The sequence below is a fragment of the Homo sapiens genome, chromosome 10, assembly GCF_000001405.40.
Source record: "Homo sapiens chromosome 10, GRCh38.p14 Primary Assembly".
NCBI classification, from domain to species: domain Eukaryota; kingdom Metazoa; phylum Chordata; class Mammalia; order Primates; family Hominidae; genus Homo; species Homo sapiens.
Window position 1 is genome coordinate 26,765,075 of NC_000010.11, and position 25,457 is coordinate 26,790,531.

Here is a 25,457-nt window from a genome sequence, read left to right on the forward strand (position 1 = left end):
TAACTTTGTTATCAGCCTTTATTCTAGCAACGATCACAAATTTAATTAATAATTTTACTCAATATGACTAATTTATTTCAGCCTTCCACAATAAAGCTCATAAATATTATCATGTATTAAACATAGATTAATAAATAACACACCTGGTCCAATAGTGGGTGGCGAAGGTGTAGGCACAGCAATGGGAATGCCAATACTACTGCTACCACTGTTTTCTCGACTTCCACTTCCTCCACTACTTCCACTGAAAAGAAAAAAAAAAACTGTGAAAAACCAATTCTAGAGACATATTTAAAAAAAAACTGTAATCACCCAAGGCCACTAAATACTCCTTTTATGTCATATAGTCATCCCTCAGTATCCTTGGAGGACTGGTTTCAAGAGCCCCCTTGGATACCAAAACCCATGGATGTTCAAGTCCTGCAGTTGGCCCTACAGAACCAGTGGACATGAAACATTGGTTTTCCTTATCTACAGGTTCTGCATCCCATGAATACTGTATTTTCAACCCGAGACTGCCTTACTCTGGGGATGCAGAACCTGAGGAAGAGGGGAAGGGAAGGAGGGAGGGAGGAAGGGAAAGGAGAGAGGGAGGGAGGGAGGGAGAGTGGGAGGGAGAGTGGGAGGGAAAGTGGTAGGCAATGGGAGGGTTGGTGGGTGCAGGTGGGTGGGGGTGTGTGTGTAACAAGAAATTTTTAAGTTATTCATCACAAATCTTAATCCTAATATTTGAAATGGTTTCCTCTACTTCTCAACCTATCTGGAACCAATATAATGATAACACAGTACTTAAAACCATCTCTGTTGAAATATTTATCACCAACAAAATCTTATAGTACGAGTCAACAATTGTTTATTCAAAACCTGCTATGAAGAGCAGTGAACAATGCAGTCATGAACTACACCATCTGAAGTTCATAATGGGAAAACTGACATGAAAAGGTAATGTAATAGATACAACAAAAGAGAAAGTACAAATGATGTGGAAGTAAATTAAAAGGGTACTCCGTTCTAGTCTAAAATTAATATGAAACTTCCTCTCATCTCAAAGAAAGGTGATAACATAGGGAAATTTTCTGGAAAATAAGCATAACGACAAAGAAAGACAATAGTGAAGTTTCAGTGTGGACATTCTGGAATAGTTGCTACTGATAAACTCTAACCAACTCCTCGCTATTCTACTTCCTGTGGATGTACTGTCCTGTTAGCTCTAGGACCTGGCTCCCTCTAGTTGTTTCTAGTAAGGTATAAGATCTTGTGCCATCCAGTTGTTTATAGTAATGTGTGTACATGTGTAAAAACATATATTTGTGCACATGCAGCCTTAGGCTCCATATTATGTTTTAAAATCTACATAATTTGCTCAATAAGCCCAGAAATTCAAAGGGCAAAGATTTGCAATGCCTGGATAAGATTTTTATTTTCTTCTGCAATATGATCATTCTATAATTAGATTATCATATGTTAATGGAAGAAAAAGAAAAAAGTCATTTATAAAACAGACATAGCTTAGATGTGAAGACCTCCCTAACTCCCTCAAGCCAGGTGATCAATACTTAGCTTTGTGCTACCACTGCATCATAGACATATGAATATTTATGCTCTTATTATGCTCCTCTTCAATTACTGTCTTTTTTCCAACAAGGGGTTGGCAAATTATGGCCTGTGGGCTAAAACTGGTCCATTGCCTGATTTTTACTACCTGTGAGTTAAGAATGTTTTTTATATTTTTTAATAGTTAAAAAAATCAAGAGGAATAATATTTTGTAACACATTAAAATTATATGAAATTAGAATGTCAGTGCTATAAATAAAGTTTTACTGGAACACAGCCACATTCATTTACGTATTGTCAATGGCTGCTTTTGTGCTACAATGACAGATCTGAGTAATTGCATCAGAAACCATATATATGGCCCACGAATCCTAAAATATTGACAATCTGGCCCTTTATAGAAAAAGTTTGCTGATCCCTGTTCTAACAGAATGAGCTCTTGAAAAAAGAACTATGCCCTATTGACAAATGCCTAGTATCTAATGAAACAACACTTAATAACTGCTTGTTGAATATGATTAAACTATGCTTCCACTATAGAGAAAAACTATACTTTGATCCAAGAGTTCAATAACAACAAAGAGAACAATTTTGTTCCTCAAAGAACTTGACCTGATACAGTAACTGCAGATATCAACTTAACAATTTGTTTACTAACAGCACCAATAGTAATAAATACCGCTTACCTAGCATCTCGCATCTTGATATACCCTATTTAGTGGAATTCCCATAAATCATTTTGATAAGTTATCTCTCATTTACCAACCTAAGAGTGAAGGCAAAAGAGAGGTTCCCTGCCCACGTTATTAAGTGAGAGAGAAAACTGAAGAATAAAACAAATTTGGTTATATAATAAATTTATCTGGTTTTATAAAGCACTCAAAAATTGAAGTGGCTATATTTTGGGGGAAGAAGGTCGAGGCGATAACCAGGAAGGAGCATGAGGGGCTTCTGGGTTGCTGGTAATGTTCCATTTTCTGATCTGGGTGATGGTTATATGAGTGTGTGTCCATTCATCAAGCTGTATACTTACTGAAGTGGATACTTTTCTGAATGCTTGTTATGCTCTGTAACTAAATTTTTAAAAACCCACCGGGTAATTGACTTTTAGGACATTTAAAAATAATAAATACAAGGCCAGGAGCGGTGGATCATGCCTGTAATCCCAACACTTTGGGAGGCCGAGGTGGGTGGATCACCTGAGGTCAGGAGTTAGAGACCAGCCTGGGCAACATGGTGAAACCTCATCTCTACTAAAATACAAAAATTAGCCAGGCGTGGTGGCATGCACCTGTAATCCCAGCTACTCTGGAAGCTGAGGCAGGAGAATTGCTTAAGCCTGGGTGGTAGAAGTTGCAGTGAGCCGAGATCGCGTCACTGCACTCCAGCCTGGGTGACAGAGCTAGACTCCATCTCCAAAAAGATAATAATAATATTATTATTATAACAACATATTCTAGTATACTGATTCTCTTAAAAAAATCTCCCTCAGATTTAAGCTTAATCTTCTTTCCTTCAATCTCTGAAAGTTTAAATCACGTTGTATAATTCCTATGATATTTAATCTTTTCTCCAAAAGTATTTGAGTGGTTTGCCTTGAATTTTTTTAAAAGAGCATTTTAAAACATTCTTAGGGCTGGGCACAGTGGCTCACACCTGTAATCCCAGCACTTTGGGAGGCCGAGGCAGGAGGATCACCTGAGGTTGGGAGTTGGAAACCAGCCTGACCAACATGCAGAAACCCCGTCTCAACTCAAAATTAGCCAGGCGTGGTGGCTCAGGCCTGTAATCCCAGCTACTTGGGAGGCTGAGGCAGGAAAATCGCTTGAACCTGGGAGGCAGAGGTTGCAGTGAGCCGAGATCGCACCACTACACTCCAGCCTGGGCAACGAGAGCAAAACTCCGTCACAAAAAAAAAAAGAAAAAAATTCTTTAGTCTTAACCCGTAGAGTCTGATAGAGTCTGTACCTCTATCAAAAGGAGGAAATACAAACAATCCATTAATAGTACAAATAGATGTTTTAAAAAGTTAAAAAAACAAAACAAAACAGAAGTTATAACACAAACTTACAGGAACATATATAATATTATTCCCCCAACTTTTACATTTTATATTAGCATTAGAGTGGCACCTCACCTTTACTCAGCACCTCCATAGGAGTTTGTCGCCAGTCAGTTACACCCACTTTAGAGATGTTGAGATACTCAACCTAAAGGCTTACCTGTGTGTCCTTGGTCTCTGATTTAAAGATGCTGTCCTGCCTGGACTATGCTGACTTCCAAGCCTAGCAGGACTGGTCATATAGTCATTAGGAACTGTTGGGGGTTTAACAGGTTCCAGGGTTTTATAAGGAGTATTCCGTCTAAAGGAGCATAGTGGAGAAAGGAATAATGAATAAAAAAGATAAAATTGTATTTTTCCCAAAAATATGTGAGTCTCCCTTTGTGACCATGTATACCAGGATTTAAAAATATATATGACAAAGTTTGTAATTTTAAAAAATATTCTTCACTGGGATATATGAATTTTGTTACTTTAACATGAAAACTAAAATTTGTTACCTTTTCCTAGGAAAAACATAGGAAAGGGTAATTTAAAGTCCTAACCTTATTTCTAAAAATTATGGTTATAATTTTTTAAATGCTCAATAATAGCAAACTTTAAAATGTACATTTTTCTCAGTACAGTCACCCATAAGCCACTGTTCTTTAAACAGGAAGCTAAATTTATTTACATAGGAAGCTGCAATTTATTCCCATCTCAATATGGCAATAAATGGAGATATACATTCTAATCATTACTTTCTCAATAAATGATTTCGACTATTCTGTTTAATAACTTCATTTTTTTTTTCAGGGGCAGAGGGTTTAATGAATAAAAATGAAAACTAAGACCTTCTTAAAAGAAGACTGATTGTTGAACAACCCCTCTGCCAAAAAATAAGAAATCCAATATAATATTTCCAGTATTAAGAAAAACAACCTTAAAGAAATATAATGCTTTGACAAGTATTCGCTATATTTAGTACACTGAGAACTAGGAAGGAAGAAGCCACTGTTATCTTTTCTACTTGCCCAACTGGCCTTCCCATGGAGCTACTCTAGTGTGAAGAGGCCTAAGATTACCAGCAGAAGCATAGTTACAAGTAAAGTGCATACTTTCCTAAAGTAAAGAGTCCCTAAGTCTCAGACACCAATAGGCGAAACAGAAGAGCTGTGGACTAAGCCATACTACACAAAAGTAGACCACTAGTCAAAGTTCTACAATATAGATACTGTAAACACATGCAAAGGCACCATTTGGAATACTCTAATCATTCCATTTAAAACAAACAAGTCAGATTTATATTTTTTAAAAATTAGATGACAAAAAAATAAATCATGCCATTTATACATACATAAAAACTTTCCTAGTACAGATTATAGAGAATATTACAAAGCTGGCAGATTCATTTGGGATTCTGTTCAGGAAAATAGGAATTAAAATGAATTTGTAAAAGGTAGCGTCACATAGAGAGGGTAGTGTGGCATGGATCCCATACACTTACTTAAGTCACAGAAACATCTTTTCCTTTAGCATATGAATTCTTTTGCAAAATGTAGTTGAATTCTTACCCCAGTGTTCCCCGGCCTGACATGGGAGGACTTGGCGGTTTCTGAGTAGGAGGATTTGTTCTCGACAGTGTGCCAGTTCTTGCAGGCTGGTTATTTCCATGCTAAAATGTAGAAAGAAATGCTTTTATTTTTATATCAAATTGTTCTCCTGGTGTTTTAACACCATGTATTATTTTTTTTAAATATCAGAATGTGAATTAAGGATTCCCAGACAGTTTGAATAAAGACTTTGGTACTACAGTTTAAAAAGTCAAGGAACCACTTGCACTTGGTCTTCCTATTATTTTATGCCATTTATATCACATTGTAGCCAAATACAGGTGAGATGACTGGATTTAATATCTTATTTTATTGTTAAACATGTTCACTGAGATCAAACTTATCTGCATTCAAACACTGGGTTTCCTAAAATTTTTGAAATGTGTGCATGAACACAAACTATAGATCTTACTTGTCAATTTGCTCAAATACGCATCTGAAAAATCATCTTCATCCTAACAATTCAGTAACAAAGTCACATATGATGTCTGGGAAACCTCCTAATTGTAAGTCAATGAAAGCAAGGCAACTATCGAAAAATGAGCAAAGCAATAAATGTTAGCAAAATTAATGTTCCTATATAAACACAGATGTCAATATATCATTGATATATTAACACAGCCAAGCTAAATGTTGCTTATTTGAACTGAACTTGAGTATTAAATAATCTACATAAATCCTACAGGGAAAAGCAGACAGACATAAGAAGAGTTTTCAAATTTTAGTGGCTCTGCAGCCTCTATCAATACAGAGGAAATACTGTGGATCAAATGATAAGTAATGGCTCTTACCTTGGCTTTTAGCCACTTTACGTTGGCAAAAAAAGGGGGGGAAAAAGTAGACATTAATGCTAGGTAAGTTATATCCGATAGGACAGGTTTACATTTACAGTTACTCAATTCATGTTAATAAGCTTTTTTCCAGCCATGTTTCAACTACTTTGTAAAGAAAAAGAGATCCATACGTACTGGGGAAATACTCATGTGTTTCATGTATTTTTCAAAAGAATTATATTCATAAGGAAACCACCACTTAATTATTCCAATCTCATGCAGGCTCAATGATTTTTTAAGTCAGTATTTTGTCCTATGGAACTAATCCAACCGAGTAACAGATGATTTTAAAAATACGCTCATTTAAATACAAACACCATAACACATTAGATGTGAAGCTATTTTAACATATCGGTGCATGAGACCTAACACTTTACTGGATAATGAATGTCCAAGTATGAGTATTCATTACTTCAATGGTAGTATAGTTTAAAAAGTGATAAACTGCAAACATTAAAATTCAAAACCACAGATTGCTTCCAAAAATGAAAAAAGGACCTAGTATCTCGATGTTTAAAAACAAATTCATCATGCACAGTGATAACTTAGCCAGATTCTAACTAAGAAATAAACAAACAGGGTCTGGAAAACTCTCTCATTCCTAGCTTCTGAACCCCAATCCTGTGCAGGCCAACACTAATAGGAAGTTCTAAGTAGCTTTAGTTCTAAGTTTTCATCTGAGCCAGTTAAGTCAAAATTCAAAGTTGAAGAAAAGTTGTTTTGATCCTAAAGGCTACTTCTATTAAAGCTGACTAGCCTACACAACATGAAACAATGTGTAGTCCTAAAGCATCACTACTTGTACAATGCCACTAAAAAAAAATATCTTCAGGTTTTAGAGTCTAATTTTTTACAGATTTGGGGGCTTCAAGCTTTTTTTTTTTTTAAATAACATCTGACATTCTCAACAAGTAACTACCATTTTTCAGGTGGCCACAAGGCAGTATCAAAGGAAATCATCCAAAGGAGAGATTTGGTGTCTTTTGGATACATTCTCATTTATAGAAACTGTGCGAGAAATTTGGTACACTTCAATATTTGTTTAAAATGATACTGCTTACTTCTATCTGGAAACAACATCTGGTACCCTACCTAACCATGACATTTCACATCTAGAGAATAAATTTTGAGTATAACATTATTAGGATCCTTGAAGATAAAATACACTAATGTATACTTCAGTATCTGTATTATGATATATACTATACATGTATAGTATATACTTACATAGCAATGTATATCTTATAATGTATATACATAATACTAAATACTATCCTAAAATAACCAAGAAAATATTCTAAATATGTCCACATATCTTCCTTCATTTGTCATTTCAAGTGGATAAGAAACAAAAAAATTAGCATTCAAGTATAAGCTGGTCCCAAATGGAAAGAATAAAAGAAGAATTAGATTGGGAATGAAAATTCTACTTGAACTCTGTGCTACTATGCAATGGTATAAGCTTTAACCTCTTATGAAGTTCGGCCTCCTCTATTAAGTGTTATTAGACATGCAGATGTGTCAATGTTGGCAAGTGTTAGTAGGAAATAACCTCTACATCTTACACCTCAAAATACTAATATTTTTGTTAGAAATCTATAAAATTTTTTATTTAAATATCCCCAAAATATATCCAAAATGAAACTTTTTTATTTCCTTAAGATCTCATTTCAGGCTAGGCACGGTGGCTCACACCTGTAACTCCCAACACTTTGGGAGGCCAAGGCAGGTGGACTGCTTGAGCCCAAGAGTTTGAGACCAGCCTGGGCAACAAGGCGAAACCCCTTCTCTTGAAAAAAAAAAATAAAAAATTAGCCAGGCATAGTGGCGCACACCTGTAGTCCCAGCTACTTGGATGGCTGAGGAGGGAGGATCACTTGAGCCTAGAAAGTTGTGAGCTGTGATTGAGCTATTGCACTTCAGTGAGACCCTGTCTCTTTTTAAAAAAATCTCACTTTGTTTCCTTAACATTTACCTTTATGGATGAGTAATTTTACCATTTGCCTGGAATCTGTTTGAAATTCCCTTTGATTCCTCCCTATCTTCTAAGTACATCATAGTTTTGTATGTCATAGGCACTAAATGTCTAATGCTAATTCTTTTTTTTTTTTTGCTGGCTCTGTTGCCCAGGATGGAGTGCAGTGGCTCAATCTTGGCTCACTGCAACCTCTGCCTCCCGGGTTCAAGCGAGTCTCCTGCCTCAGCCTCCCAAGTAGCTGGGATTAAAACTGTGTGCCACCATGCTTGGCTAAATTTTGTATTTTTAGGAGACGGGGTTTCACCATGTTGGCCAGGCTGGTCTCGAACTCCTGGCCTCAAGTGATCCTCCCACCTGAGCCTACCAAAGTGCCAAGATTACAGGCATGAGCCACTGCACCCAGCCAAGGCCAATTCTTTCTTTGAAATGATTCTTAACTCACTCCTCTGCTTTATAAAATAAAAATTAAAAAAAAATCTTCCTATGTAAACATTATAAAGCTTTAGTTTCTACACTGTTTTAAAAAAATTAATCAGAAAGCCATTAGGCTGAGACCATTAGGCTGAGACGGCTCCAGCATTCTGGGTTCCTACTTAGGCAAACCAAAACACAATTAAAAGAAACTTAATCAGAAACCTCCAACTAACCTCTAACTAGGAACTTTACTAATCAGAAACCACAATTAACTTCTAACCAATCAAATATTTTGCTTGTCTTGCTTTCTTGAACTTCTACCTGCTTCATGTCTCCTGTGGTCTGAAGCTGCCCGATTCATGAATCACTGTAAACTAAAACTCCAAAAAAAGTAACACATCTAAGCTTATCTTTTAAGACCAATAATAAAATCTAACAACTCCTAGATCACATAATCTTTTGAAGCTTAAAAACAAGCACACAAACACACAGTAATCCAGTCATCCCTTGGTATATCAAGGAGGCTTGGTTCCAGGACCCCCATGGATACCAAAATCCAAGGATGCTCAAATCCCTCATATAAACTGGTGTAGTATACGCATATAACTAACACTACCCTCCAGTATACTTTACATCATCTCTCAATTACTTATAATACCTAATACAAGGTAAATGGTATGTAAATAGTAGTTATATTGTATTTATTTGTATTATTTTTTACTCTTGTATTGTCCTCGTATTTTTTACTTTTTCTTTCTGGAATTTTTTTATCCAAGGTTGGCTAAATCCACAGATGCAAACTTAGAGATACAAAGGGCCAACTACATATGAAAAGTCCTTTGTAAATTATGATCCAGGCTGTTAATTATTACTAGTGTTCATCAAAATAAATGTAAATTTCTTTGCTAAGTATTCAAGCCTTCTCTATTCTAGCTTCCTCTCAAACCTTGTGCTCACTTACAAAGATCATCTTCTTTTCATTCTCCTTTATGAATAGGTTCTGGTAGTTTCTCTATGCTGGGATTCTCTTATACATATCTTATTATTATTCCCAAAAATCGAACCAGATTTACTTTGGGATATTTTGCATATTTTTAAATTCCTATTAAACTAACATGTACCGTTTATTTCATAGCATAAAATGCATTAACACAGTAAATACTATTTAAATAAAACCCAGATATATTTAAATACAAATACCAAAACACTAAAATTTACATCACAAAATAAGAAAATGCAATGGAATATTAATCTTGGAGTATGGCAATCGTAAGCATGAAGCCTAGTAGCGATAAGAAAAATATTAATATATTTAGATATAATTTTTAAAATTCTGTATGTTTATTTCTTAAATACCAGAAAACATCAAAGTCAAAAGCCAAACAGCAATATGAGTAAATATTTGCCAATATATGAGGGTCTACTCTCTTCAAACAGAAAACAAAGGATTCTTACAAGTCAGTAAGAAAAGAAACTTCTAAATAGAAAAGTGGGCAAAAGATACAAAAATAATTCGAAAGCTGTAAGCAATGTCTCACTATCCTCAAAACACTAATTTTAAAATAAACTTAAACTTTTCCTTCTAATAATTTTGGCCTGGCATGTGTTCATTAACTACTACCAAAATTTCTACCTTTACACATCTCTACAATGCTCTGGAAATATTTAAGCCAACAATGATCCTTTAGAGAGAACACAAAACTAAGAAAATAAAGCAGCATTAAGACTACTGGGGAAAAGTAATTGTATGTATGTGTGTATTTTTCAGTCACAGAAACAAACTATAGACAAATATGCCAAATAATCAGCTTCTAAAATATATTCTTCTCACAGACCATGCACCTTCATCCCTCGCCAAAAATATATTTTAAAATAGCCTGCACAACAATGTGAATGTACTTAATGTCACAGAACTATACACCTAAAAAGAGTTAGTCATTTTATGTTATGTGTATCTCACCACAATAAAAAAATCTAAAAAAAAAACCAAGCCCCCCAACCCTGTGTCTAATGTATCCATATTATGGCTAGAAAGCAGATTTCCAAAATTCACATTCATATACTTTCAGCATATATTATGCTGTTTACACCTCCCACTTACACATATACGATGAAATAGTTAAATTTTCTCACCCAAAACTTCCTTGTAAAATTTGGATTCATCTTATACTCAGCTAAGTACTATGTTTTGAAATGTTAAACACAATTACTCGTTGAGGGATAAGGTAATGGAGGATATTCACTACTAAGACAATGACAGAAAAAATTTTTAATAAATATGTATTGCTTTGGTAGGAAGAATAATCAAGGTGAGGCAAAATGGGGAGAAGTGAGTGCGAGTGTGTGCGTGTGCAAGTATGTGTGTGCACATATACAGGTATGTATGTATACATACATGCATGCATGAATATATCCTTTTTCTTTAAATCCCAAGGTGGATAGTAACACAAAAGACATTTTCCCCAGATTCTCGAAACTCCAATCCCAGAGATCAGTCTAGTTTAAAGCACCTTGAATTAAAACTGAATTTCAGCTCTTATACAATCCTAGCCACATCCCTGGATAAAAACACAAGAAATAAACAAGCAGTCACCTCTGCATTTGCAATGTGTTCCAATTTTACATACAATTTCCAGACATAAAAAGTGAAGAGGAGATTCCAATAGTCTCAGAGAGGGGCAGAATAAAGGTCAATGCTGTCAGCTATACTCCTCTCTCGACCAGGAACCCCAGAAAATCCAGAATGTAACAGATCTAGCAACAGCACCAGTCAGATCAATCAGCTAGGACAAGCTTCAAGATTCTAGCTGACCCCTTAAAAACTTATAAAATATTCTGAAGACCAGAATCCAAATCAAATAGTCCTCTTGGAAAGGAACTACCAAATTTCAAAGGAATAGTTTATCCTGAGCAGAGACAGCGAAAGAATTTTGGTCATTCCAAATGCTTGCAAAATGACCCATAAATACCAAAAAGCTGACACACTACAGGTATCCTTCAAGATCAGCTAATTTCCCATGCTTAGAAATGAACACAGGCAACACATCATATCTCTCCTGAAAATCTGTTGGGGGTTTTTTTGTGGGGGAGATTGGGGGGCATTAAGACAAAATTACATACAATTTTCATTTTTTAATAAGTTGCTGGCATTATAGATACACACACAGGTATACAAATATATATACATATTTAGAAATGAAACGATAAAAGTATTTATAAATTATTTTCTAAAGTAATTTTGAAAAGCATGTAGACTTTTATTTTTAAATGTTCAGTAGTGAAAGAAAGACATAGAATTCACAACACAAATGGGTAATATTTGTCTAGGATTTATGGCTTAATAACCATTTCTAATTTTAATATCTTTTTAATACAGCCTATTCAACTGATAAAATTGCACCCCAACCTTAGTAAAATTCATATTAAATATTGTATGAAAATTATAATGCCAGCTGCTAAAGAGAATCTATTAAAATCATCTTTATGACAATATTTCCTATCCAAAATATTTACTGGATATGCAAATTAGCTTGTTAATGTAATATAAAATGCTTACCTTGACACCATGGCCCACATCATCCAGAACTGTGTAATCGATAGGTTTCCGAATATACCTTACAGGGCGCTCCATATTCGCAGGTGCTATTATTTTGTGAGTTCTTGATGTATTCTTATTTGTTGTCAAAATACCAATCTCTCTTCGTGCCACTTTCTCCTTATGAATATCCACAGTCTATATTTTAATTTGAACAAAACAAGAAAATATTATTTGACATAATATGTTTGCTATCCATATACACTGGACCATATTTAGGACAGACCACAGGGCTGTACACCATATGTCTATTTTCCAGTGAATACTATTAAATTATACTAGGCTAAAAGCAGAGAATATTTAGTGGTGGTTTAAAGCACCAACTAATGTAATGGATTTGATTCTAAAACAATTCTCTGGAAAGCAGTTTTCTTTCCTAACAATTTGGTATGTGGGCCGGGCATGGTGGCTCATGCCTGTAATATCAGCACTTTAGGCCAAGACAGGTGGATTGCTTGAGTTCAGGAGTTCAAGATCAGCCTGGGCAACATGGCAAAACCCTGTCTCTACAAAAAGTACAAAACAGCCAGGCATGGTGGCATGTGCCTGTGGTCCCAGCTACTGGGGACATGAAGTGAGAGGATTGCTTCAACCGGGGAGGTCGAGGCTGCAGTGAGCTGTAATTATGCCACTGCACTCCAGCCTGGGCAACAGAGGGAGACCCTGTCTCAAAAAAAAGAGAGAGATTTGGTATGTGTAGAAAGGGAAAGTTGTCCTGGTATGAGTAGCTGACACTTTATTTATTCAGTGTGATGCAGAACCTCCCCACACACCCCCCAAAAAAGTAATTACAACACAATGAGGCAAGTGCTATAATGACATATGCACAGTTCATTCAAAATTACTATAAAGGTGCTGAGAACAAGACAACTAACTAGGTTGAAAAGGGTTCATTTAATGGCTTTACAGAGTAGGTACCTACTCTGTACCTACTCTGTACAAAGGATAAACAGGAGTCAAGAGGTAGATATGAAAAATATTAAAGGCAGAGAGAATAACATCCTGCAGACAAAGGTTTAAGAGAGAAAAATGGTAAGAGCAGATATAAACTGTCAGCAAGCAGCCTAGACACCTGTTTGGTAGAGCCTACCTAGGACTGGTCTACAAGACTTTTTAAAAATATTTTTTTAATTTAGTTGCCAACTTAAAACTGGATAGTAACCAGCACATGAGAAATAATTATACAACTGCTCAACAACTTAAAATCTGGCTTAATAAGGAACTGATGACAAATTTAAATTGAGTGACATGATCACCTCTGCATTTTAAGAAGATCCCACTAGCAGAGGTATTGAAGACAGAAAGAACAAGACTGCAGAGAGTGAAACCAATTAAGGGGCAATTGTGGCAGTCTAGGTGAGACGAGGCCAGGATATGAACTGAAGTAGGAAAAAGAAAAAAAAAAAAAAAGGTACTCCCATGGAAAAGAACAGCTCAATGTTACGCTTGAATCAGATCTATTATGATTCTATCTTATTTCATCAGAACTTTTTAATCGAGAAAGAACTTCTAATCAAAAATGCTATCCCAATTCCAAACCAAGTAGATAAAGACACCTCTCCATGAGTATCTATCATTTCTGTACATCTTGTGAGAAGATGCACTAACTCCCTTTGTTCTGGATGTTTATAGAGTAAACAGCCTTAGAAAATATAGCATCTCCTTAGAAAGCAAAGGCAGATTTGCTTACTGTCCAATATAATAAAGTTAATGTAGACCTCCAGGAGAAAGGTTTTCTGCCCATTATAAAAGATGTGGTCCCCTAAGTTGAGAATACTTTTTCTCTAATGTACACAACTGTGTATGCAGGCATCACCTGGCTCTTTGCAGTACCCTATGGAAACTGGGGCTGTTTTCTAGCACAAATGCCGACACTCTGGCTACTACTATTGCCATGAGTAATGATGTCCTTTGTCTCTGACCCAGGAGTCTCATGTCTTCCAACAGAACCCATGAAATTGTGGTAGGCTAACTCATTAGTTAACAAGGATAAATCTCAGGACCATCATAATTTTCTATAGTTTTGGCAATGAAAAAGAATGCTGATGGGGACAAAACTTTCTAGAAATGGAAGGAAAGACCAGTTAGTAGAAATTGAGAAAAGTCCACGAGAATCATTAACCAACATGTTGTCCAAATTGTATGGTCAACCAGGCAATGAATGATCCTCCACTTTAGTGCCTGTGAATGAGGCTGAAATGAAGAGGAAGTTTCAGGATAAGTACCAGGAAGTAGGCAGATTCAAAGACAACAGCCTGAATGATGCCTTGGTTATTGTCAACACTCCTGCAGATAGGAGGACTTCCTTATCAAGCTGACAGTCAGCCTCAGCAGGTCTGCTTCATGAAATCTTCCAGACTAAGATTTGTCTAGAAGAGGGAGACAGGGGCACATAAGGTTCTGTTTCCTTTGGACGACAGTTACAGAGACATACATCTACACTGAGTTTGAAAGTAAGAAAAGGTGCAACCATTGTAGGCAGAGCCAAACAAATCTTTAGAACTTTGGCTAGTTTGCTTGGAAGAGGAGGGGCATGTAGTTACATTGCTCAGGCATGTAATGGTTGTTAAAGAAGAATGGCATTTTGCTGGCTATCTTAGTGCTCAGCTCCTACCGCAGTCTACCTTGTCAACATTAAATCCTTTCAAGATAACTGGAAAGGGCCTCAGCATTTTCTGGTGGTATAACCGTCCACTACAAGAAACCTTTGAAACTCTCAGGGAAATTTCCCTGAGACAAACTCCCTTGGACACCAACCAGTCTACAGACTCCTACTGTACTAGATTGGGTTTAAAATGCGGATCAAGGTAATTCACTGAAGAATCAGAAACTAGCTCAAAGAATCTAGATAATTCTTGCTGTCAGTCCTGCAGCCTTAGAAAACTCCAGTAGCCCTAGTATTGAAATCAAGCAAGAATTTAAGAGATATAATCTTGACATTATCTTAACAATGGAGCAGTAAAGAGCCTACATTAAGGCAGACTTCTAAAAAATGATGCCATTGTGCAGATCAAGCCCGTCAGCCAAAGGGTATAAAACCCATTTCCCCCATCAGAAAGCAACAAAGCTATAGTTGTTCGATCAAGGTGTTCCCAAACAGAAATGGATACCATCCATAATGATGACCTTTTGTGTGTGTGTAAGACAAGGTCTCGCTCTGTCACCCAGGCTGGAGTGCAGTGGAACAATCACGGCTCACTGCAATCTTCAAATTCTTGCACTCAAGCAATCCTCTGACCTCAGCCTCCTGAGCAGCTGGGATAACAGGTGTATCCCACCATGCCAGGCTAATTTTTTAAATATAATATTTAGTAGAGACGAGGTCTCACGATGTTGCCCAGGCTGGTCTCGAACTCCTGGGCTCAAGCAATAACGATCTTGCACAGAATACAGGGTTTTGGTAGCACCAAAATTACTGCAGGTTTATTGGACTGATCAGCACACAGCTATAGCACCACTCAAAACTGAAAGCAAATGTCTCTTGTTCACTGGTGCAAAGCTACTCTCTCCCAGCCTCCCTCATCCCTCAACCTCAGCTGCTTTATGAAGAAAGATGATTAGGAGTGGGGCCAAGTTCTCCAAGTTCCCAAAGGAGACTAAAGACCACACACACCTGGGTAGGCTACATAACTTTGGGGAGAGCACAGACTCAACATTTTATGGCTCTGTTGGATACAGGAGCCCAAGGCACCTTCATACCCATCCTGTGGAAGAATAAGTTACCAGCTTCCAACTGCTGAGGTCTGGGTAGGGTTCAAAGTAGGGAAGGGAAGCTACTGTGACCTTTTGGGTGGGGCTCTTTGGACCATTCAATGTACTACTGTTTGTAGCTTCCACTTCTGAGTGTATAGTGGTATTGATATTTTACAGGCCTGAACTGTGAGGGCTCATAAGCTCCAGGGAGATTATGCTCACTGCGAATAGCCCATGTAGAAAGGCATTAGTAGGTTTGGGGCCCCACAATCCTTATGACCTGTTTGAGTACAAGTCTGTGCACAGATGACTTTCCTGACTAGACCCTCTGGCAAGAGGAACAACCTCTTCAGGTGACTCTTGGGTTTGGATTCAATGCCTCCCTGACGTAGCTACTAGGTATGCCTCTTTTGAAAAGATTCCCATTTGGGAATGAGTCAACTCAAATGCAATGACTAATAAGGTGGGAAAGGCCCAACAAGCCTCTGTCATCACATGGAACTGGTAATATTCAAGAATGCAGCCAGTCTGGCCCCTAGGGCATCTCAGCTTTACATGAAAAAGCAGCAGCTTCTCCCTTTGAGAAAGTCTGATCTTACATTCTGCCACCTAAACCAAATCTGCTAGCTCAGTGAGGCCCTTGATTCACAGAGGTTCCCTAAATGCCTGGGCCTGTTTCACTGATGATTCAACTAAGCTGAGACGCTGTGGTGCCTAGTGGGCTGTAAACTCCAGTGCCCATGATACAGAACTGAAAATGGGTGTGGTTGCTTTGTTCCACGGGCAAAACTCAAGGACATTCTCACAGATCTGGCCAATATTCCCCTTGAAAACCTTGTTATATTTTTACTGACTATCAGGCTATTACCAACTGCCTAGGTATTTAGTCAGCCACTTGGAAAACTACAGAATGACATATTTAAGACTGTCCAAAAACCATGGAGATCAATTGTAGTTGCTGATCAAACCATCTGGGTCACTAATATAGATGTTTACAGTAAGGGTCCATTGTCTGATGAGACCAATTATAATCAAGCCACTGATCAAGCTGCACGGTTAAGACTGCTACCACTGCTGCTGGATCCATCATCATACCAGACACAGCAACATATCTATCATCATAGAGTGGATACAAAGTAAAAGACTCTATGTTCCTGATGCAGAGGCTGCCACCTCATCCTAGACTTATGAGTCCTGGAAAAGGACTCATTTGTCTCATGGTGAGAGGAACCACATCACATGCTACTGGCAGATTGGTTGCATCAGACAACCTTCTTCAGGCTATCAGTGGGGTCTCACTGCTGATGACACTTTTCCAGGGTCTGGTACTGCTATTCCAGTTCAATCAGCTGACTCCAGCCACAGTACCGTGGTCCTTGACACTAATCTGTGTCCTATTTTTACTTTCCACATCATTTGCAATCTGACAATAGGTACACCTTTTATCACAAAAGTCACTCAACAATGAGCTGTTAGTCAAGGTAGGTGACAGTCTACCATCCACAGCATCTTATATCGCTTAGTACTGCAACAGCCTTATCAAAAATCAGCTCAAAAAACCTCAACAACAACAAAAAAAAAAACCCGACTCAAAAATGGGCAAAAGACTTGACTAGACATTTCTCCAAAGAAGACAGGCAAATAGAGGCCAGGCACAGTGGCTCACGCCTGTAATCCCAACACTTTGGGAGGCCGAGGCGGGCAGATCACAAGGTCAGGAGATGGAGACCATCCTGGCCAACATGGTGAAACCCCATCTCTACCAAAAATACAAACATTAGCTGGGCATGGTGGTGTGTGCCTGTAGTCCCAGCTACTCGGGAGGCTGAGGCAGGAGAAACGCTTGAACCAGGGAGTCAGAGGCTGCAGTGAGCTGAGATTATGCCACTGCACTCCAGCCTGGCGACAGAGTGAGACTCTGTCTCAAAAAAAAAAAAAAAAGACAGGCAAATGGCCAATAAGCACATGAAAAGACACTCAATACCACTTATCATTAGGGCAATGCAAATCAAAACCACAATGTGACACAACCTCACATCCATAATGATGGTTACTATCAAAAAAATCAGGATGTGGAGAAACTGGAGCCCTTGTGCACTTGCAGTCACTCTGAAACATAGTATAGTGATTCCTCACAAAATTAAAAACAGAATTAGCACATAACCAGCAATTCCAATTATAGGTATATACTCAAAAGAATTCAAAGCAGGGTCACCTAGCAGCTTTATTCACAACAGCCAAAAGATGAAAGTAACCCAACAATCCATCAACAGATCAATGGATGCACAAAATGTGATATATACATACAATAGAATAGTATTTAGACTTAACAATGAAGGAACTTCTGACACATGCTACAATATGGATGAACCTTGAGGACATTATTGAGTGAAATACGCCAGTCACAAAAAGACAAATATTGTATGATTCCATTTATATGAGGTACTAGAGCAGTCAAATTCATAAAGACAGAAAATGGAGATAGTGTTTGCCTGGGGGAGGAAAGCTCAAAGGACACTTGTTTAATGGGTATAGGGTTTAATTTCTACAAGATAAAAAGAGTCCTAGAGATTATTGGTTGCTCAACATTGTAACTATACTTAACACCACTGAACTGCACACTTAAAATGGTTAAGATGGTGATCATATATGTATTTTGCCACAATTTTAAAAAAAATTTTAATCAACTCAAAAGATTTCTGAGTATACCTCTGTCACCTCCTCCTGGTCTACACAGGAGTACAGCAGTTTGGTCACTGAATGTGGCTGTCTCCAGGAAGAGAACATCTCCTGGCCACTTGGGATTCCACCCTGACCATTCCTAAACATGATGCTTCTTTCTTTCCTCTAATGGAAATCCCAGGCTGGCTTGATTGGTCTACTCTCTGGGTGGCAACCCAGCCAAAAGGAGGTCTTTGGTATAAACTTAATTCAGGTTCAGCCACCTGGAATTGACGATCTGGATTTTCTTGCTGGATTTCTTTGGTCTTAAATAATAATGACCACTTAGTTAAGTACACTGCTTCCCCTAGAGTGGCTCATGTGGACAAAAGTAGGAGACATAAAAGGGTCTCTGTAAGTTTAATAAAAGGGCCCTTTGTCACTCTTGCACCTGGCCCTTCCAGACAAAAGGTCTGGGTTTGAGTCAGAGATGACTGGAAAAAAGGTAAAGCTAGCTACTGGAATGGGACACACTGATTTTGTGGCAGTCAAAGGGGTACAACAACCCTGTCTGGCACCTGTGGGGAAAACACCTTAGATGCGGGGAAGTAAGGAAAAAGGGGGGACATTAGTGATCCGTCTTTTAGAATCATCCCTCACAAAGGACATTTCTCTGCAAATGTGCAAAACCTCAAATTTAACTGACAACTGGGTCTGCCCCTACCCCACCACACAACTTTGATCACTACTCAATCATCATTCTCCTTAACTGCACAGTCTCTCAGAAGCAGCAGAGGATGGTCCAAGCTCCCAAATCTCCCACGTGAAACACCTGTCCATAACTTTAGGCATCTTTTCAAGGGACAGTCATTTCAAGGGACAGATGAATGCCATTGAGTTGGTGGCACAGATAATAAACAGGACAGATTGGACTGACTGCCTTCAGGCCATCTCTCCACAAACCAGTACTAGAGAAGTATTCATACTGTACTTGGAACCCTAAGGCTTACCAGCCATCAGGGAGGCCACATTGGAGAAACTGTCAGCCTGTGCCGTCTGACTTAAAAGTAGGTCCCACATAACTGGGGAGGTGGGGGGGAATGGGGGGAGCGGGGAGAAGTAGGACAATATAAACAACACATTCTTTATAGGCACACACAGTCCTTGGGAGTATTTCTTGTTTGGAAGTCGGGCATTGCCTCCCTTCAGAAAATGTGATGACTTGCACACCAAGGGAAAAATCACTATAATGGGAGTCATCCAATTAGAAAACTTTATTTGAAATTTGTTCCCGACTTTAGCTGAAGCAATCAATGACATCACCTTGGGCCTAGAGGCATTCAGGACGGTCTAAAATCACTATCCAGGATTGTTACAGATAGAAGAATAGCCCTACGCTTCCTCTTTGTAGACCAAGGCCAAATCTGTGCTCTATATTCTGCAGTAACTAGATTAATGCCTTGGGCCAAGAGTAAAGTCAGCACAGAAACAAAGAGAAAGCCACCTGGCTCTCTTAGGTAGACCCTAAAGGTTTATTGCATTTGTTCTGTTGGCTGGGTCTTGGACCCTGGGGAGCATAATTGAAGTCAATATTGCAGTCTGGCCTCATCCTGCTATCCTGTTGACAGTAACTGTAATGAAATGTGTTATAAGAAAAACTGAATGGATCTGGTCCCAGCCTCTGTCGGTAAGATTAATCAGAGTGACAAATGAAGTTGCATAATCATGGGAAAGAAATCTTACCAGAAGCCAAGAAGGTATAGAAATGAAGGGTGAATACTGTTGGAAGGCAATTATACTTGAGTCTTTCATGTTTCTGTACCTGTTGTGAGTAGAGGGACTGACTCATTTTGTTCCATACCAACTTGCTACATATGTTTGTATTATATAAGGAATGGTCTTGAGGGATCAAGAAACAGTGTCTCCCTCAGGAGTAAAAGGCAGGTTTGTTTGCTGTCTAGTACAATAAAGATATCATCTCCAGTTGGGTGTGGTGGCTCATGCCTGTAATCCCAGCACTTTGGGAGGCCGAGTAGGGCAGATCACCTGAGGTCAGGAGTTAGAGACCAGCCTGGCCAACATGGTGAAATTCCGTCTTTACTAGAAATACAAAAATTAGCCGGGCACGGTGGCACATGCCTGTAGTCTCAGTTACTTGCGGGGGTGCTGAGGCATGAGAATCGCTTGAACCCAGGAGATGGAGGTTGCAGTGAACCAAGATCAAGCCACTGCACTCTAGCCTGGGCGACAGAGTCAGACTCTGTCTGGGAAAAAAAAAAAAAAGTCATCTCCCTCCAGGGTGAAGTTCAGGTAGGCTTACAAGGCTTACTACCTATTATCAAAGTTTGGGTTCCCTAAACTGGTGGTCCCTCTCCTGTAACAGAGTGCAGTGCATTACAGGAGAGGCATCACCACATGCCATCACTCGGCCCCTTTCACCTTCCTCTGTGGAGCAGTGGGCTTGGCAAACTGGCACAAATGCTAACACTCTGCCTCCAGTTATTCTCATCAGTAATAAAGTCCTATGTCTCTGGTCCAGAAGTCTTCTGTCTTCTACCAGCATCTAGGAAAGATTTTAGCTTGCATGGAGGGCAAAATCTGACTCTTCACAATTCTTGAAAAAACTGTTTTTATAGTGAAACAATTCACATATTCTGACCACCCCCATCCCCAAGTAATTCTGAGGATTATCTGATACAATCATTGATTCATTGATGTTACAAAACGTAAAGAGCCCCATTTTTGTAGAATGCCTCTCTACACTTTTTTTTTTTTTGACAGGGTCTTGCTCTGTCGCCTAGGCTGGAGTTCAGTGGTGCGATCTCGGCTCACTGCGCCCTCTGCCTCCCAGGTTCAAGCGATTCTCATGTCTCATGACTCCCGAGTAGCTGGGACTACAGGCATGTGCCCCCACACCCGGCTTATTTTTGTATGTTTTGTAGAGACGGGGCTTCACCATGTTGGCCAGGCTGGTCTCAAACTCCTGACTTGACTTCAAGTGATTTGCCCGCCTCGGCCTCCTAAAGTGCTGGGATTACAGGCATGAGCCACCATGCCCCGCCTCTCTACACATCTTTTAAACTCCTCCCTTTTCTAATAGGTCCAGCACTAGTACAAATTTTAGCTCAGTTCTGCTCAGCACAGAATTAAGTTGAGGAATCCCTAACTCCATAGAAGGGAAAATATTGAGATTTCAATGGGAGTTGGAAAAGATGGACCAGTATTTACCTAGGTTTGTTTCTAACTCTCCCGAACACTCATTCTCTGTCTCCTTTCTAAGGTCACGTTACAGACAGTGTCTCCCAGTTCATTTTCCTCTTTATGACCCCTCGGCAAACTCATCCACATTCAGGCTTAAATTACCATATATACACACAAACTTTTCTTTATCTATTCAAGAACCCTCCTCTAAGCTATAGGTTCGTGTATAAAACTGACATTCTCTCAGATATTTCAATGGTACCTTAAAGTGAACGTGTTCAAAATCAAACACACAGGCTCCTCAATCCTATTTCAATGCTCCTACTTCAATTCTCTATTGGTTTATGTAAGTCAGACATCTAGCATTTACTTCATGTTTAATTTTACTAAATCCTGTCACATCTACCTTTAAATACCAGAAATCTGTTTCTAACACTTTAATCCTACTCAATCTACTATCATCTCTCACCTTGGCTATTGCAACAGTCTTCTAATTGGTCCACTTGTACCCAGTCTGGCCTTTTTCCAGTCTGCTCTCTATGGTGTAACCATGGAGATCTTTACAAAAGAAGTAAACTTGAGAAAACAAAATGAAAAATGTGTACATCTCACCTGTTTAAACCCTATTAAAAGAGCATCCCACATGGTCCCCAGTCCTCAAGGGAAAAATTAATTCAAAATGTCTTGTTCTTTCCCTATTTTTCTCAAACATCATGGAATCCACAACTCTCCTCCTTAAAATCATCCTTTTTTCACCCTTCCTACTTCACTCACACACTGCAGAATTATTCAGGACACGATTTCAAATTACTTGAAAAATTCTACTCTGGTCTACTCCCTCTCCATTCTCTCAATTCTGAATCATAGAAGTCCAAAACACAACATGTCCAGCAAAGCACAACCCTCCATATGGCAGGGTGAGCAAAAAAAAGGGAACAGGTTTGGAACATTTGTATAACAACAGCATGCATATGTTCACCAAGCGAGAGTTAGCTTTTTCAGCGAGACTAATTCTTTCTCATACTTGAATTTCCTTACTTTCATACATTTTTCTTCAACTTTACATAGCAAAAGCAGCAGTCTGACATTAAAAAACAATAAGCTTTTAGTCTTAATATATGAGAGTCAAAATCAGAGTAACCCCAGTTGAGAAGAACTAGATGGCCCAGGAGAGTACCCTATAGCAATCCTTAGACCCACTGGTTAAAAAAAAAAAAAAAGCGTGCAATCTTGAAATTAGAAAATTATGTTTGAATACTAACTCTTTTGCTTATTGGATATAACATTTTATGCAAGTTTTAATTAACTAAAATTTCATTTTGCTTATGATAAGGTTTGGCTCTGTGTCCCCACCCAAATCTCATCTTGAATTGTACTCCCATAATTCTCACGTGTTGTGGGAGGGACATAGTGGGAGATAATTTTAATCACGGGGTCGGTTTCCCTCATACTGTTCTCGTGGTAGTGAATAAGTCTCACGAGATCTGATGGTTTAATCAGGGGTTTCCACTTTTGCATCCTTCTCATTTTCTCTTGCTGCCGTCGTGTAAGAAGGGCATTTTGCCTCCCGGCATGATTCTTAGGCCTCCCCAGCCATGTGGAACTATAAGCCCAACTGAACCTCTTTTTCTTCCCAGTTTCAGGTATGTCTTTATCAGCAATGTGAAAACGGACTAACACAGCTTATATAAAATGGGAATAGCATATTAGAAACTCTAACATTGCTTGATACAAAAAAGTACTAAAAAATAATAAATCTGAATCTTATTTATCAAACTACCCAATCTACAACTCTGCAATTAAGATAAAGCATTTCTAAAATATTAATATGAAAACATGAATGTAACACATTATGTATTTGAAATATGATGAATGTGATTTAGGTTCAAATCTCCAGTTTTGCCACTGGCAATACAATTTTTAAGAACTCCTCAAAGCCAGTCTAATAAACATTAAGATACCAGCAGTTTGAGGCCGGGTGCAGTGGCTCACGCCTGTAATCCCAGCACTTTGGGACGCCGAGGTGGGCGGATCACGAGGTCAGGAGATCGAGACTATCCTGGCTAACACAGTGAAACCCCGTCTCTACTAAAAATACAAAAAATTAGCTGGGCGTGGTTGGCGGACGCCTGTAGTCCCAGCTACTCGGGAGGCTGAGGCAGGAGAATGGCATGAACCTGGGAGGCAGAGCTTGCAGTGAGCCAAGATCACGCCACTGCACTCCAGCCTGGGCAACAGAGCGAGACTCCGTCTCAAAAAAAAAAAAAAAAAAAAAAAAGATACCAGCAGTTTGAAAACTCAACTGATTCCAACGTAAACAAATGCTAAAATTCATTTGAGAAAAAAAAAAAAGTGGATCCTCATTTTCTTGGCAGGAACTTGTAGTCCCACTCCCTGTTATGTACAGAGGCAAAGGGAAGAGCTCTGGCCCCCTTGGCATGTCTTTGGAGCCATGCAGCTTCCCGTCTGCCAGTTCTATCCTCAAGCACCAGGACACCAGGGAAAAGGAAAAAGAAAAAAGAAAGTGGATCTTAGAGGTAGGGGTATCAAAAGTACTAACTAGAGAAAAGATAAAAACCCAAAGACAAGTTGTCAATAAATGAAGACCATGCTTGATGCATCAGCACCTGAAGGAGAAGAGACAAAATCAAAATAGAATATACATGGAACAAATTTGGAAGTAACCAAAAAAATGAACATGTACAGGGGGAATCACCTTTTAAAGCATGAATACATACACACATTTGAATTACATATGTTTTATATAATTCAAAGCTCACAAAATTCAAGACGTATAACAAATGATGGTGTTTCCGTTTCCTGACTAAACATCAAATGACAATAAAAGAAACTGTTTAATCCCCTTTTCAGTTTTGAAATTACGCAGTGGTTCACAAAATTTTTAATGTGAAGGAAATCTTCACATTTTAAAAGGGATTTTCTGTATTTTATTAATATTTTATGTTTTTTTTAACTTTTAAGTTCAGGGGTACATATGTAAGATGTGTTAGTTTGTTGCATAAGTAAACATGTGTCATGGGTGTTTGTTGTACAGATTATTTCATCCCCCAGGTATTAAGCCTAGTATCCATTAGGTTTTTCCTGGTCCTCTCCCTCTTCCCACCTTTCACCCTCCAGTAGGCCCCAGTGTGCACTGTTCCCCTCTATGTGTCCATATGTTCTCATCATTTAGCTCCTACATATAAGTGAGAACATGCAGTATTTGGTTTTCTGTTCCTGCATTACTTTGCTAAGGATAATGGCCTCCAGCTCCATCCATGTCCCTGCAAAAGACATGATCTCATTCTTTTTTGATGGCTGCATAGTATTCCATGGTGTATACGTACCACACATTTTCTTTATCCAGTCTATCACTGATGGGACATTTAGATTGATTCCGTCTTTGCTATTGTGAATAGTGCTACAGTGAACATACATGTGCATGTGTCTTTATAACAGAATAATTTATATTCCTTTGGGTATACACCCAGTAATGGGATTGCTGGGTCAAATGGTATTTCTGTCTCTAGGTCTTTGAGGATTCACCACACTGTCTTCCACAATGGTTGAACTAATTTACATTCCCACCAGCAGTGTAAAAGCATTCCTTTTTCTCCACAACCTCGCCAGCATCTGTTATTTTTTTGAATTTTTAATAATAGCCATTCTGACTGGTATGAGATGGTAGCTCATTGTGGTTTTTATTTGCATTTCTTTAATGGTCAGTGATGTTGAATTTTTTTTCAAATGATTGTTGGCCGCACATGTATGTCTTCTGAGAAGTGTCTGTTCTCTGTTCAAGTCCTTTGCCCACTTTTTAATGGGGTTGTTTTTTTTTCTTTTAAGTTCCTTATAGAAGCTGGATATTAGACC

At 38.5% G+C, this 25,457-nt stretch overlaps 1 protein-coding gene and 1 non-coding gene across 31 annotated transcripts in view, besides 4 other annotated features; one reads left to right on the plus strand and one right to left on the minus strand.

Annotated features, from left to right (window-relative positions):
• ABI1 (abl interactor 1) overlaps window positions 1-25,457 on the minus strand; it is a 114,363-nt gene that overhangs the window by 18,479 nt on the left and 70,427 nt on the right. For 18 of the 30 annotated variants that reach the window (NR_145410.2, XR_007061931.1, NM_001178123.2 and 15 more), the window contains 5 exons: window positions 11,991-12,167; window positions 6,001-6,015; window positions 5,171-5,271; window positions 3,778-3,918; window positions 144-244 (listed from right to left, as the gene is read on the minus strand). Coding sequence is in view for 28 of the 30 variants with exons in the window: in NM_001178123.2 (NP_001171594.1) it covers window positions 144-244; window positions 3,778-3,918; window positions 5,171-5,271; window positions 6,001-6,015; window positions 11,991-12,167 (535 nt within the window). In the remaining 2 variants the exon portion in view is untranslated. The remainder of the gene's footprint in view (window positions 1-143; window positions 245-3,777; window positions 3,919-5,170; window positions 5,272-6,000; window positions 6,016-11,990; window positions 12,168-25,457) is intronic. The other 12 variants (NM_001178124.2, XM_047424407.1, NM_001178121.2 and 9 more) reach the window with 2 other exon arrangements.
• Window positions 15,736-15,895: an enhancer, noted in NCBI's record as "active region_3173". NCBI's record gives its function as "activates an Ori minimal core promoter by ATAC-STARR-seq in GM12878 lymphoblastoid cells {active_cell/tissue: GM12878}" and the evidence as "EXISTENCE:reporter gene assay evidence [ECO:0000049][PMID:35858748]".
• Window positions 16,006-16,135: an enhancer, noted in NCBI's record as "active region_3174". NCBI's record gives its function as "activates an Ori minimal core promoter by ATAC-STARR-seq in GM12878 lymphoblastoid cells {active_cell/tissue: GM12878}" and the evidence as "EXISTENCE:reporter gene assay evidence [ECO:0000049][PMID:35858748]".
• Window positions 16,716-16,825: an enhancer, noted in NCBI's record as "active region_3175". NCBI's record gives its function as "activates an Ori minimal core promoter by ATAC-STARR-seq in GM12878 lymphoblastoid cells {active_cell/tissue: GM12878}" and the evidence as "EXISTENCE:reporter gene assay evidence [ECO:0000049][PMID:35858748]".
• Window positions 16,942-17,683: an enhancer, noted in NCBI's record as "H3K27ac hESC enhancer chr10:27070945-27071686 (GRCh37/hg19 assembly coordinates)". NCBI's record gives its function as "activates a minimal SCP1, AML or CMV promoter by ChIP-STARR-seq in primed H9 embryonic stem cells {active_cell/tissue: H9 hESC(primed)}" and the evidence as "EXISTENCE:reporter gene assay evidence [ECO:0000049][PMID:30033119]".
• LOC124900293 (small nucleolar RNA SNORA57) lies at window positions 23,943-24,083 on the plus strand. Its single transcript, XR_007062399.1, has one exon. It is a non-coding gene; the product is annotated as a small nucleolar RNA SNORA57 (small nucleolar RNA).